Source organism: Homo sapiens, chromosome 4 (genome assembly GCF_000001405.40).
Source record: "Homo sapiens chromosome 4, GRCh38.p14 Primary Assembly".
Taxonomy (NCBI): Eukaryota; Metazoa; Chordata; class Mammalia; order Primates; family Hominidae; genus Homo; species Homo sapiens.
Window position 1 is genome coordinate 173,914,715 of NC_000004.12, and position 15,184 is coordinate 173,929,898.

At 37.4% G+C, this 15,184-nt stretch overlaps 2 long non-coding RNA genes across 5 annotated transcripts in view; one reads left to right on the forward strand and one right to left on the reverse strand.

The window, feature by feature from the left end:
• LINC02269 (long intergenic non-protein coding RNA 2269) overlaps nt 1-14,811 on the forward strand; it is a 32,253-nt gene extending 17,442 nt beyond the window's left edge. The window contains exons 2-3 of the long non-coding RNA NR_146487.1: nt 13,781-13,930; nt 14,511-14,811. This is a non-coding gene — a long non-coding RNA (long intergenic non-protein coding RNA 2269). The remainder of the gene's footprint in view (nt 1-13,780; nt 13,931-14,510) is intronic.
• The window catches only part of LOC105377543 (uncharacterized), a 66,783-nt gene continuing 61,068 nt past the window's right edge, over nt 9,470-15,184 (reverse strand). For 3 of the 4 annotated variants that reach the window (NR_188467.1, NR_188466.1, NR_188469.1), the window contains one exon: nt 9,470-11,047. This is a non-coding gene — a long non-coding RNA (uncharacterized LOC105377543). Of the gene's footprint in view, nt 11,048-14,484; nt 14,558-15,184 lie in introns of all 4 variants that reach the window. The other variant, NR_188468.1, reaches the window with a different exon arrangement.

The following is a 15,184-nucleotide window of genomic DNA, read 5'->3' on the forward strand; positions in this document are numbered from 1 at the left end:
ATAAAGAATTGTGTCCTTCATACATAAGGAGCTCTTGTGAATTAATAAGAGGAAATGAAAATATGATGACAGATAATTCTCAGCAAAAGAACTACAGGTGACCATTGAACAAATGAAAACCACATTCAACCTTTGTATTAGGTAAAAGGCATTCAAATGAAAATTAGTGAGGATGGGAAAAATGGTTGTTTCTTATCTATTTCTGTTTAACAGCTCACCCTAATTCTTAGCAGCTTACAACAAACTCTTTCTGACAGTGATGGGTATGAGGAATCTGGGGACGGCTTAGTTGGGTGGTTCTGGCTCAAGGCTTCTCGTGAAGTTGCGGTCATCTCAAGGTTGGACTGGAGTTGCAAGTTTGTCTTCAAGCTCATGTACACGGTTGTTGGCAAGTCTGAGTTCCTCTGGGTTGTTAGGCTGGGGACTTCAGCTCCTGGCGATGAGTTGTCCACCTTTTCAGTGGGCTGCCAACAACGCAGCACTGTGCTTCCCCCAGCTCAAGTGATTTGAGAAAGAGACAAGCAGCACATAAGACAGAAGCAGTCTTTTTATTACTGAAATCTGATGCCATAGCCCATCATTTCTGCCATATTCTGTTCACTAGAAGCAAATCACTATGTGCAGCCCACCCTGGAGAGGAGAGAATCATTGCGGACCATCTTAAAGGCTGCCTAACAATAAGAACCTCCAACATGGCAGACAGCAATGAAACAGGGGGGAGAAGGTATTGTTTCTAGTTGTCTGGAGGGCAATTTGGCAACATATGCAAAACGTTTAACATCTCCTTGGTCCTTGCGGCATAGCAATGTTACCTCTAAGAAATAATGAAGGCCGGGCGCAGTGGCTCACGCCTGTAATCCCAGCACTTTGGGAGGCCGAGGCGGGCGGATCACGAGGTCAGGAGATTGGGACTATCCTGGCTAACACGGTGAAACCCCGTCTCTACTAAAAAATACAAAATATTAGCTGGGCGTGGTGGTGGGCACCCGTAGTCCCAGCTACTCGGGAGGCTGAGGCAGGAGAAAGGCGTGAACCCAGGAGGTGGAGCTTGCAGTGAGCCGAGATCACACTACCGCACTCCAGCCTGGGCGACAGAGCGAGACTCTGTCTCAAAAAAAAAAAAAAGAAAGAAAGAAATAATGAATATAAGGCATGTGTAAAAGATATTACCAGCAGCATAAACTGTAATAGTGAAAATTTAGGGGAAACCTAAACGCCTAGTATGTAAGATAATTAAATAAATTATTGCACATTCCAGGAATACAAAATTTGTAACTGTCAAACATATTTTTGAACAACTTTTAATAACAAGGGCAATTAATTGTAATTGATAGTTTTTGAGGGGATGTATATGTTATATGATGATACATTTTGTAAAACTTAATGCATGCACATATGCATTGAAACCAATTTTGGAAGGATAGAATCCTAAATGTTGACAGTGATTTCTTATGCATGGCAGTGTTGTGGGAACTTTTTGTTTTCATTTCAATCTTTTTCTTTATTTTCTAATTTTCCTATGCTGAGCCTATATTACACAAACAGAAACTATACCCAAGAAAAGAACTATAAAAATACATAAATAATGAATCAATTTTTTAAGAAATCAACAGAAAATGAACTTTGATAGAAATGATGTTGAGACTATCTGCCAAAATATTATATAAAATATAATAATTTTAAAACTGTTATGATTCTTTTTCTATACTCAGTCTGAGAAAGCATGAGCTGAATGGCATTATTGTCCTAAGTATGCAATTATAAATGAAATTTGGGCTAAGGGGAGTGGGAGGTGGTTGCAAGAAAGGATGTCAATAGTCTAACTTTTGTTATTAAAAAATAAATCATTATTTCTTCTTGGATTCCTAAAAAGCAGACAAATCATAGGTTCCTTGGTAGAGGATTACCCTTTTCAGCAGAACATGAATTAAGTGATTTAAGGGGTTGCTTCTGGTCTAAATATAGTGGCTTTGACCAATTTAATTGGAATTCTATGCAGTACTTTTATTTGTAAGAAAGGACGTTAGTTCAGGATATGTGGAGGTTGTTTAAATTCAATCTCTCAAGCCACTCTGAGTGTCTCTCCTTCTGTCAATGGCAGTGCTACACGGGGCCCAAGTGCAGCATGCCTCTTGGTGACTCTCACAGTACTTTCTAAAAGCTCTTTATAATATTTTATTGCTGAGTACCTCCATTTATAAAGGAGGAATTTTGAAATAGAAGATATTTTTAAGACCATCTAATATCATATAAGAATAAGTTGATTCAGATTTGAATTTATTAGCTTCAAGGAACCAAAAACTGAAAAAGGAATAGAAGCAGACGAATACATTCTTTAGCAGGGACTGTGAAAAGCCCCTTAAGAAGTTCCATTATAGCATGCTCTTGTATGATACAAAGTTTAGGTTTCATCTGGCATTCCACAATTGCCCTGTTATGATGGCTTTTAGTAGCTGCCCTACTGTAATGTATCTTTGGAGAGTGTTTATTATATTTTAAAATTTGGATCTGAATCCATCTCCAAACTAAATGCTGACATTCACAAGGGCCTGATTGGCTCTCTCTCAGTCTGGAGAAAGCTCTTATTGTGGTCAACTCAACTGAGCCAACTATTAGCAATGTCAGAACCGTTCTGCAAAGCAGGGCAATACTTAGTTAAAGTGATTCATATTAGCTGAGCATGAGCAAAGAAATCTGAACAGGCTGTTTCAGAGTCCTGGACTGCCAATGAATCCATTGCTTTTGTGAACACAGTGGGAAAAAAAATCAGGGTTCATGCTCCTAAGGCTGTTCAGACTTCTTAGTAAACGTTTCACTGTGTCCCAAGGAGAAGACAGAGTGTTTTAATGTGGGGAATGGAACCTTTTGTGCTGTCTGTTCTGGAGAAAAGAATGTGGTTTCTAAAATATTACTTTTTGAACTTCCTGTACTGTATTTATACAATTCTGTCTCTTTAAAAGGCTAAATTGTGTTATGACTAAACTAGTCACTGATAGACCCAACTTGCTCTGTGAGAGAAGCGTTCTTTAACATATCAGAGCCGTTTCCTTTGTGTGGTGCATTCCTTCCCGAGTCTGTCACTCAGCAAGAGCCGTAGGAGCCATTTGTCCACTGACCAGGCAACACAATTTTTGTTCCACCTGCGAACGTGTTTATGGGTTAGTGGTGAAAAGCTTGGGCATGGAGTGAGACAAAACTGGAATCTAGCCCTGGCTTTGAGTTCACTTCCCTGAGACTCAGTTTCCTCATTGTAACATAAAGAGAATAAGCAATACCTCTTGAGGCAGTTGTGAAGAATAGAGTGTGTGGATAGCATAATGTCTCATAATTGGTAATGGCTCAAAAAATTATAATATGAGATCAGACAGTCAGAATATTTTCTTTCATTTGGAAAATATGCTCAGTTGATTAAAATGCTTCAGTGAATTTTTGAACATTGGCGTATGTTTAAGGCCATCTCCATATATGTTTTGTGAACTCAGAAAAAGATATCAGTGAGAATAGAAAGAACAGATAATGCAATATTTCCCTTTAAAAAACAAAACAAAACAGTAACCCCTAGAACGAAATACATTTTACATTGTGACCTAGTCTGCAATACATATATAGGCCATATGTATAACTGAAATGAAAATTGAAAGAAACCTTTCTTCTATGTGTGAGATACTCTGATACTTTATCTTCTCTTCCCTTCCCTTCTGGTCAGAATCAGCTACGCTGATTTTACACCCACTAATAGTGTATAAAGAACAACTTGAAAAAGATATTGACTCAAATGAGAGTAAATGAATTTATTACACAAATTTGTTTCACATCAGCTATTAAGTCTTATTTTACTTTGATATTTCATAATTTTTAATTCCATTAATGAATGCCTCAGGGAAAGGTGAAAGAAACTAACAATTCATAAGTATACACTGTGTGTCAGATATTACCTATGCTGTTCTACATATATCTCCTCTTTTAACAGTCACAATAATCCTACTGTTACCCCATTTTACAGATAAAGAAATGAAAGTTGAAAGACATAAAGTATCTTACCCAAGAATTCAATCCCATCTATTTTTTATTGTCCCTGAGTACAAGAGGCTAAATAAGCATAAACATCGATAACACTGACATGTCTGTTAGCTTTTACCTCTGGGCTGTTGTACCAAATAGTCATCCCTTTAAACTAAATTATGCATTTTTGACCACTTCAGAATAGAATTTGAGTTTAAATTACAACTCAAAAATAGGTTGGGGAAGATCACATATTAATTCTACAGAATTAATGAAACAGAACTCCCTGTTATGTGACTATTTTATTCTGTGAGTCTAATAGTTTTTTTTAATTTACCCTTAAAATACTTTTAAAAAATACAGTACAGGAACCTATATTCTCTTTTAGTTAAAAATAAACCAAACTTTGATAGTACAGTTATAAACCTAGAAGAATTTTAGTTTGATTCCAGTGTTTGAAAGCATGATCAAACTCCAAGTTTATTTTTTCATAGTTTTTTTTTCTCCTACAGATTCTTCTCCACAATGGATTAACCACAGACATTTGAAGTCATACTGTTTAAATATCTTTGAATTATTTTTGTTTAAAAATGTCAATGGGTACGATAGGAAAAGTACATTTTTTTCCCTGTAACTTCAAAACAACTGAACAGAACCTTTGGACTTAAACCAAGAATTGAATGTTTTAGCTTTAAGAAGATTTTCTTCTCTGAAAAGTAATGAATGAGTCTCTTTGCAAGTTTAACTATTTCAAGTATCAACTCTCTGACTTTCAGCATTCTTTGGTATTAAAAAAATGTTTCATGTATAAATAAACGTAAGTTTTTTTTCTCAGCTATCTCTCAAATCTCAAGTTACATAAACTTCAAATACACATAAAACGTTGATACAGATGAATTGCATAATGTTTTTAAATGTTTAAAATGTAGTGTTCCATTTTGTTAATGGCTTCTTTCAAGTTTGCATTAGTGAATGACAACCCTTAAGAATAGCCTGCAATGACCAGAGGAATGGGAAGGATGTCATTTTCTACTTGCTCTCCATGGAAACTGAGAAGAGATCCATTACTGTGATACCCTTGGGGGAGCAGAGACGTGTCCAGGAACTTTAAGTGTAGTAGATTACCAAAAAATCACGTACAGGCTGTGGGAAACACTGGAGGTTGACTGAGATCCAGAGTTTCTCAACTTAGTGTTGGGGCAGTTGACACCTGGGGTCTCCATTCAGATCCTGAGAGGAATATGAGGCAGACAGATCCATGTGTGCTCTCCGTTTTGGGTGTCAGATCTCACAGGGGTTTCCCAGGGGCTGTGCTGTGGCTCCCAGGACACAAGGCTTCCCAAACTATAGAGGCTGTCACTGAGAGCAGCACAAGTCACTAAGGTACACACAACTCCTTGGGCCACAGTGCCTGGGAGGAAGACTTCTCAAATTTCATTTGTGAAAAACATGAACTAGGGGAGGATGTAAAATTTGTAAATGCAGATTTTAAATGGAAATGACTTTATAAAATCATTCTTAAAATTTGTAAGTATATACTGGCTCACTTTTTTTTTCGAACTGTCTCTTTTTTGATATAGTCAATATCTGTAGTTGTTATGTAAGAACACAATACATTTCTTTTGTATTTCCATTCAAAACTAGTTATATCTACAAGACAAATGGACTCCTTTTTTGTGAAGGAAATTTGTAGAGATAAGATGAAGGGTAACTATCACTAAGAGTTAAATGGTGACTAAGTTGATAGGTGAAGGTTATCAGAAGGAAAATATAGAATGATGGAAGGAATCACTTTGTTTTCTTATTTTCTGAAGCACTCTTTGAACTCTCTGATAAAACCAAATTTGTGACAAAGTGCCAAAATCTAAAAAAAAATAATAATATCAACTTGGTGGGGAAGGAAATATATTTTACTTATGTATTTTATTATCTCCTAAGTGATTTAGTCAGTATGTGTAATAAAGTGAGATGAAAATAACATATTCTTTCAATATAAAAGCTTTTTATTTTTATTGCTCAAAATTGACTATTGTATGATTACATAGAAATAAAGAAGCAGCCTGCAGAGGATTGTACTTTAGGAGTGCTAATCTGGCATCACCTGTGCTAAGAAAGGAGAGGGACTGGGAGTGGAAAAAGGCATTTTATTTTTAGTGATAAACATTGTGTTTCTAAAAATTAGATATTCAGCCTTAAATGTATTATAAGAAGATAGTTATATGGTAGAGTGAAAAGACAATAGGAGATAAGGAAAGACATCAGAGTTCTAGCTTGAATTTTTACTCTCTAATTAGAATGTTGCAGTCACTATCCCATGCTGAAATTTAGCTTTATGATCTATAAAATAAAAATTATGCCAGCTTTGTCTTTTTATGCTCTAAAACAATTTGGGGAACAAAATCACTATTTCATCAAAAACAAAGAACTTTAGGACTTAGATAAAGTTGCCTTTTGTGCTACCCAGCGTCAGGGCTCCCTTCTACAGTGGAGGAGTGTGAAGCAGCAGCTGGTAAGCAGGCCCCGTGCATAGTATGAGCCCACCCAGCTCATCGACTTTCCCTTTCTTCTTCCTCTCTCTGAACTCTGCTTCAGCCATTCTCTGCTGGTGACTGTGCCATGAAAATACCACGCTCTCTTCCTTCTCTGGGTTGTTTTTCTCTTTCCCCACTAATCTCTATATTCCTGCTCTAACTACTGTCCCCATTCTTGGCGTAATTTTTTATTCTTCAGCTCTCAGTTTAATCTTGCGAAGGTACATAAAACATCTAGAGTCAGAGCACCTAGGTTCAAATTCTATCAATCACTTTAAATAACAGGTAGCTTGGGGCAAGCTATTAAGTCTGTTTTTTCATTGGTAAAGTGGGAACGAGGACCTACTCCTTAGGGATTGCTAAGAGGTTTAAATGAGATGTTACATGTACAATGCTGGCTCTGTGCCTGCCATATAGCAAACACTTTTTTTTTTTTAAAGAGATAGGGTCTCGCTCTGTTGCCCAGGCTAGAGTGGTGGGGGTATTCACAGGAGTGACCATGGCTCACTACAACCTCCAACTCTTAGGCTCAAGAGATCCTCCCTCTTCAGCTTCCCAAGTAGCTGGGACTACAAGCGCACACCACAGTGCCTGGCAGCAAACACTCTTAAAGTGCTGAACAGTATTATAAATCGCAGAGCTGTCTGTGTCTCCCTGAATGATAGCATCTATCTCCTTGTTTTGGAAGTGCGTATTTAGGCCGTTGTCTTCTTACATACACCCACTGTTGTCCCCACATCCCAATTACACCACACAGTTCCCGAGAGTAGAAACTGAGTCTCCTTTACTGCTATATCCTCAATGCCTAAAAATTAGCCTGTTTCATGGTTGAGGCCCAATGAATATAGAATGAATACATAGTTATTCCACTTCACAATCTAATAAGGGAAAGAATCAGACAGCAATTCTAATCCAGAGATAAAATCTATAGTCAACAAAAATGATTTAGGGATTTGCTTTTTAGCACCCTGGAACTGTTGGCACATTTTAAAGTATTTATTTTAATATTTTGGTCATTTGAGGCATATGACTAAGCAGGTTTGAATTCCCTCACCAGGGAACTATGCTCTTTGATGATTTGTTCTTTGGAGACCTAATTCTGTGCAACTGTATATTGATAAAATAAGCTAACAATATGGCCAGGTATTCTTTATTTTGGATCTCATTGATGAAGGTAACATAAGTTGATAATCAGATTTTCCTTTTGCTAAAATAGCCAAGAAAATATTTTGTTAGGCTGGGCACAGTGGCTCACGCCTGTAATCCCAGCACTTTGGGAGGCTAAGGCGGGCCGAGGTCAGGAGATAGAGACCACAGTGAAACCCCGTCTCTACTAAAAATGCAAAAAATTAGCCGGGCGTGGTGGCGGGCGCCTGTAGTCCCAGCTACTCGGGAGGCTGAGGCAGGAGAATGGCGTGAACCCGGGAGGCGGAGCTTGCAGTGAGCCGAGATCGCGCCACTGCACTCCAGCCTGGGTGACAAAGCGAGACTCCATCTCAAAAAAAAAAAAAAAAAAAAAAAAAAAAAAAGAAAATATTCTATTATTTGCTTTCTAAAGTCTCACAAACAATTTAGGAGCAAGAAAGCAACATGTGGGAAATTCCATAATAAAACATAAATATTTTTTCTTTACAAAAATGACAGATGCTTATAGCGATTCATATCTGGGGCACCAAGGTTTTCAACTGAATGTAACTATTCTCATTTTATGAAGAACCAAAAGGAAAAAAGAGTGATTTGTTTGCTCACTGGGACTTTAATCCCAGGTTTCTTGTCTCCCATTATCTTCTTTATACTGTACACTTTTGCCCAAGCCTGCTGTCCTCCTGTACTGCCCACGGGCTAATCTCATCATATCCCCTAGGTCCTACAAGAGTTGGAGCCATCCTCTCCTCATCTTCTACTTTCTGCCTTCTTCTGGGACACGCTATTGATCACGAAGTATCTTATCCTTGAAAAATCTCCTCTCTTCAACTCGAGTACTACTGCAGAAAGCAGCAACTTGGCGGCCTTTTATGGATGGGTGTTACTGAAGTTAGGACAAATCTATAATAAGTTCATTTCCTCTAAGATGTCTACCCAGAAGGACAATACTTAATTGGGCACATATACTCTATTGGATCTATATGCTCATGACTTTATAAGTAGGCATTCTGCATGTATGTGCAAAACAAAATAGAACTTAGGAGGATAAAGCATCCTGTAAAATGTGGGACTTAAGACTGTATCAGGGAAAGGAGAAGAAAAGAAAAATATAAAATCTGATTTTTAAAATTATGACTACTGGAGTGTGCAGAGGTTTTCAAATGACTTGTTGGTGAATTGTAAACCTATAAAATGTGTGAAGCCATTTTATAAAGAAAAGCAATGTTTATAATTTTTTACCCATATAATGATTTAAAAATAGAAGAGATCACCACCTACCCTGATTCTTTAAACAAGCATTTGCTTGCTTCAGTGATTGTGGGTTAGCTAGATGATCTTGGAGTTCTTTCTGTGATTTAGTCAGTGATATTGAACAGGCTCTACAGCAAGGAAAGAAGGGGAACTGTATAAAGTAAATAAACTTAACAAAGCAGAAGATACATGTACCCAGAGAGTTCAACAATTTAGAATATTTGCCTGATTTTTTTAAAGTCCAAAAGTAATCTGTATTGATTATAACAGGAAGCTACTTTTCCAAGTTAGAAAATGTACGTGTGTGGTCAAAGCCGTCTTTAAAACAAATGCATTGAAAAATTTAAAAGGTCCTTTGTGTAAATCACAAGTCCCTATATTGTATCTTCATTAAGTCTCTGAAAATATTTTAGTCAATTTATACAGTCCTTTAAAGAAGGTAGTATGTGCAAAAATATGCACTGATACCTAACTACAAAATTATTTTGCACATCACAAATTGTATACATGATTGTCATGGATGAAACATGCTAACAATCTTTATTTTATTTATTTTTATTAGTTATTAATTTATTAACAATTTTTAATTTGTTTGTTTTTATTATTTTATGCCTTCATTCATGAAGATAACATACATTAGTAACCAGTTTTTCATTTGGCTAGGCTGTTCAAGAAAATACCCTGTTCTCCGTTTTCTAAATGCTATGAAAGTCACAAAGTAATTAATTAAAAGACCTCAGTATCATGACAACACCATCATCCTTCTGGTCAACACATTTCAGTGATGCAGAGTGTATTGTGACAGCCTGCAGATGACACAAAACAATCTACATTATCATCAAATTTCATGTCTATACTAATAATAATTTTTCACTGAATGTAGCAACACCTTTTCTGGCTGGGGTTGGGCTGAGGACAGAAGTGCTGTTGAGAGAGAAAAAAAGGGAGAAAAAAGAATGCAAGCTGGCAACTAGTTAATGAAAATCATAATGATATCAGTCTTTTTGCACTGGAAATATGCACTCCATCGTGCTCAAATGGTGGGGAGTGCAGATCTCTGATAAGACTAGGGGACTGTGGTCGGGGTTAGGTCGAAGGCATAAAATGCCTTCGCACACATGAATGCTTACCATGTGTGACCAAGTGGGAGGAAACTGTGGTGAGACAGGGAAGGAGAGAAATAACTCACTTAGTGTCTGGCATGATGATGTTGAATCTCTTCAGTAATGATTTCTGTGTTGTGTGTGGGTTATGGGAGTTTGATGTTGCTTTATGCCTGATGCAAAGAAATGCCTTTTGGCTCAGATTAGGTTGTGATCACTTCAGTTTGGCACCTAGTTACCAGTGTCAGCATTTACAGTTCATTCCCAGCCATGGGTGCAGTAAGTCTCTGAGATCTCAAAAGCTGTAGGATGCAACCCACATTGCCTTCTGGCCTTCGAGGACCATGCCAAATTCCTTAAAGCAATGACAGCTAAGGGTCATAAGGCGGCACTGATTCTACCTATGACCCAGTTTATTACACTATGTCAGTAGCAGCTCTTGCAAATTAATTTTGCTCATTACAGCAGAAAATGAATCAGGAAGACAGAATAGGACAAAATGCTTCCACCAAAATTTTATAAGGTATTTAAATCAGAGGAAGGGAAAAATCCCTGGCTTTTTCCCAGACACGAAAGAGAAAGAAAGGAGGCAGCTGAGGTAGAAATTCTCATACATTATGCAGATTATTATGATTAAAACCTCCTAAGTAAACTGTGCTGCTGAATATCCTTTAGATTTTGTTTTTGCAAAATCCCCAATGCTTTGGAAATATGAAAATTCCAACTACTAGCCTATGAAACCCTAGAGAACCTGCAGACCAGAAAAGGAAACCTGGCATAATAAGAATAAACAATGATTCTGCTTAAGTTGGATGTGAATTGTCAAAAGAAAAGTCCAAGGCAGACAAATTTCAGTCTCTCCAGACCCTTTTCAAACCTTTTCTTCTGACAGCCCCATAGAGATTTCTGAGGTCTTTCTTGAGCAGGTCTGGCAGCTGAGCCCTCTTCGTCAGGAGTTCTCAATGGCCCCCAAGGTGCCTTTGTTTCCTCAAGGGGTTTTCATAGCATCCTCAGCTGTGGTAAGAATAATTAGAATTTCTCTTTAAAACCTATAAAAGTCCAAATTACATGTCTTTTAAACATTTTTCTGTTGCTTTCCTTTATTTTATGCTTCTGTTCTTGTTTTTAAGGAAGGCAATGTATCGCATCCTGTATTACCTTCCCCTGACCTCATAGCTTCCCAAAACAGGAACAATCATGGGCTTTGAAGGTAGGCCACGTTGGTGTCACCAGTTTCTATGGCCCTCAGCAAGTCATTTAATCTTTCCAGGCTTCCATTTTCTCCTTTGCAAGATATGGATTTTCTTACTGTGTGGTTATGTAATGAATGAATTATGTAATGCCTAATAGATATTAATTATTAATTTTTTTAAAACAATCTTGTTCTCGTAAAGAAGTTAGGAACTGGGAGAAGCAATTTTTAAAAAATCTACAGAATTGTTTGCCACAAGCCATATTTGTCACCAATATAACAATTTTAAGATTAGATGAAAGAGATACTTTGAATCTGAGTCTTCTCATCGGTCTACCCCAATTAAAACAGACTTTCTCAGCTTTGGACATTTCCCAAGATGCACTTGCAATTCACATTTCAATTCTGTATTTATAGGTGAAAGATATTAATCACATAAAAAAAATAATCTCTTTATTATCCTGCCTTCTTGCCCTCTATTAACACGCGTGCTGTTTTTGTTTCCCAAAAGGAAGTATCTCTCCAAGCCAAAACGTTACTGGCCTTGGTTAATATTCTTTTTAAATGATACCTTTCATTCAGTAACTCCAAATTAACTCTTCATTCACAACCCACAGTTTGTGATTATTTGCACTACTGGATTATTTAATCTTTTATATTTTTCTCTAGTCACTTTATGTTTTTAATCTGACCTGTGAGTTCTAGGACTTGAACCAAGGGTTCCGATGAAAACTCTTTCTGAAACCAATGTTTTGCTGCTGTGGTCATTGTTTCTTGGCCTAAAGTAGAGTGCTTATTACAGTGAAAATTGGGAAGGGCAGTGGGGAGGAGGGATAAAAAGGCATAGTTAATGAGTACAAAAATACAGTTAGATAGAAGGAATAAGAGGTAGTGTTCAATAGCACCACAGGGTGACTATAATTAGGAAAAACTTACAGATTTTTAAATTATTTTTATTTATTTATTTATTTATTTATTACAGAGTCTCACTCTGTTGCCCAGGCTGGAGTGTGGTGGCACAATCTCGGCTCACTGCTACCTCTGCCTCCCGGGTTCAAGCAATTCTGCTACCTCTGCCTCCCGGGTTCAAGAAATTCTCCTGCCTCAGCCTCCCAAGTAGCTAGGATTGCAGGCATGCACCACCATGCCCGACTAATTTTTGTATTTTTAATAGAGACAGGGTTTCACCATGTTGGCCAGGGTGGTCTTGAACTCCTGACCTTAAGTGATCTGCCCGCCTCAACCTCCCAAAGTGCTGGGATTACAGGCGTGAGCCACCGCGACCTGCCTGAATTTTTCAAAATAACTAAAAGTGTAGAATTGGATTCTTCCTAACACAAATAAATGATAAATGCTTGAGGTGATGGATATCCCAATTACCCTTACACATTGTATGCTTGTTTCAAAATATCACATACACAACTATTATGTATCCATAGCAATTAAAAATTAAAAAAAAAACTTCACCACCATGATTCCTTGGTTCCTTGAAATAAACATGACTCAAGTTTCTTTGAATAGTTATTTTAATCCCAGTTCTCTACTACTGTGGTCTCCAAAGTGCAATGCACAAAACAATCCATTGGAGGACAATAATATTTGAACTTCTTTCTGTACTTATTTTTTAATCTAAAAAAGGAAAGCCAGTTGCAGTGGCTCACACCTGTAATCTCAGAACTTTGTGAGGCTGAGGCAGAAGGATTGTTTGAGGCCAGGAGTTTGAGGCCAGCCTGGGCAATATAGCAAGACCCCATCTCTAAAATATCAAAATAAAAAAAATTAGCCAGGCATGGTGGCACATGCCTATAATCCTAGTACTTTGTGAGACAGAGGCAGAAGGATCGCTTGAGCCCAGAAGTTCAAGACCAGCCTGGGCAACAATAGTGAGACCTCTATCTCTGAAAAAAAAAAAAAAGGGGGTGTGTACCTGTAGTTCAAGCTACTCAGGAGGCTGAGGTGAAAGGATTGATTGAGGCTGGGAGATCGAGGCTGCAGTGAGCCAAGGTCATGCCATTGCACTCCAGACTGGGTGACAGAATGCGATCCTATCACTAAAAAAAAGAAAGAAAAAGAAATGACTTAACTTATAAAAAGACAACGTTCTTAGTTTGTTTTTAAAATTATCTCTACATCTATGGTTACTTCTAGACTTGTATACTTTACCTATTTTCTTTGGCTCATAGTTATTCATTGATTAATCACACTATATGAACAGTTCACATGTGGTAATTTATGACCACAAATCCATGACATTGAAATTATGTGCTCCATTAAATTCAATCCACATTTATTCAATTCTACCTACTTTGAGTTCTATATCAGAATACTTATGAGAGGTGCAAACAAGTCCTTGTATTTAAGGAATTTGTACTTACTATAATTTTGTAAGCTTTAAGTTATATACGTATATATGTATTTTATTTTTGACATGAGGTTTCTTTTTGGAAATAGATATAAAATAATATAATTAGAATCCAGTTTGAAAGTCTAGAAACATCCTTCCAAAACCATAGACAATTTTTTCTAATGAAAATATTATATCGATACAAGTAAAGAATGAAGATGTGGAGACCTGGAGACAGGTGGCACCTCGTGCTTCCTCCGAAGGGAGAGCCCATTTCCTAACAGCTGGATCAAAGGCATGAAATGAACATGGAGTCCCTGAAGATGAAGAGAAGGCATGGCTTCCAGGGAGAAATTGTACAGTTAGTGTCACTCCAGGGTCCCAAATAGTAGAAACTATTTCCTGTATTCTAGTTGAGAAATTGTTTCCCTGATTAAGAAGACATCATACTTCCTAAGAGAAGCTGCTATTACCATGACATCCAAGTCTTTATCTAGCAGTTCAGTCTTTCACCTTTCTCTTCACCCTCCACCTCCAAACACACACACACACACACACACACACACACACACACACAGAGCTCCCTCCACTGAGGCATCTGGCACAACTAATCATCTTCAATTTCTTTGATTCACAAAAGGAACTGAGAGGTTACTGATGACCATATTAGATTGTATTTGGATGGAATGTAGAAACATTGTTAATTGTTCACTTAATTATTCATTCATTATTTCAGCAATGAACATTGATTAAGCACCTACTATATCAGAAGCTGCTTAATTATCCCACATATGCAATTTCTCCTTCTTATTAGTAATAGAACTCTTTGAACTTTCTATGGGACACTATCCCCCCAGCTAGATGCTTGCTGCTGGGTTATGTGTGCAACATTTCCTTAGAAGGAAAACTTCTTACCTTCCACCTTCTTTCTCCTTATGCAGTTACAGGAATGCAGATGTGATTCCTATGGATGAGGGTAACCTAGAGGCTAGAAGAACAATAGGACAGAAGAAGCCTGGGTCCCTGAACAACCTTGTGGAGCATAGACACCTACGTGGCCTGGACTGCCAGCTCACAATGGGCCTCTCTGTGAGAGAAGGAAACTTCCCTCTTGTTTAAGCAACTGTGCTTTTGAGAATCTCTTGGTCTATACCCTAATGAATAAGGCCATCATAAATGGATATCAAAGTAAGGAAATTTGTGTAAATGATTTAATAAAACATTACCTCAGGTATGAAATAATTCTACCTTGTGCCTTGACAACATCAGGTATTATTCATGCCCTTTTCTCTCCCTGTAATGTCTCTTATCCACGGGTAGAAATTATATTTTCCATCTAAGGTTTGCTCAAATATTATCTACTTAAGTAGCTCTTACCAATTTTGCCTCTCCTCCTGAGCTGACCCTATGCCTTCTATGCTGTTCCAGGTAATATTAATCTCTTCCTTTGTACTTCTTTCACAGAACATACTTTTTTGTCTAACATAATAACTATAGGCATAAGTGTATAGATTCCACTAGGGGCTTCAGAACAGAAACTATCATCTTATTAATTTTTTTCTCCCTGATATCTAGGGAAATATGTTATATATAATAGGCCCTTAGTAATCCCATA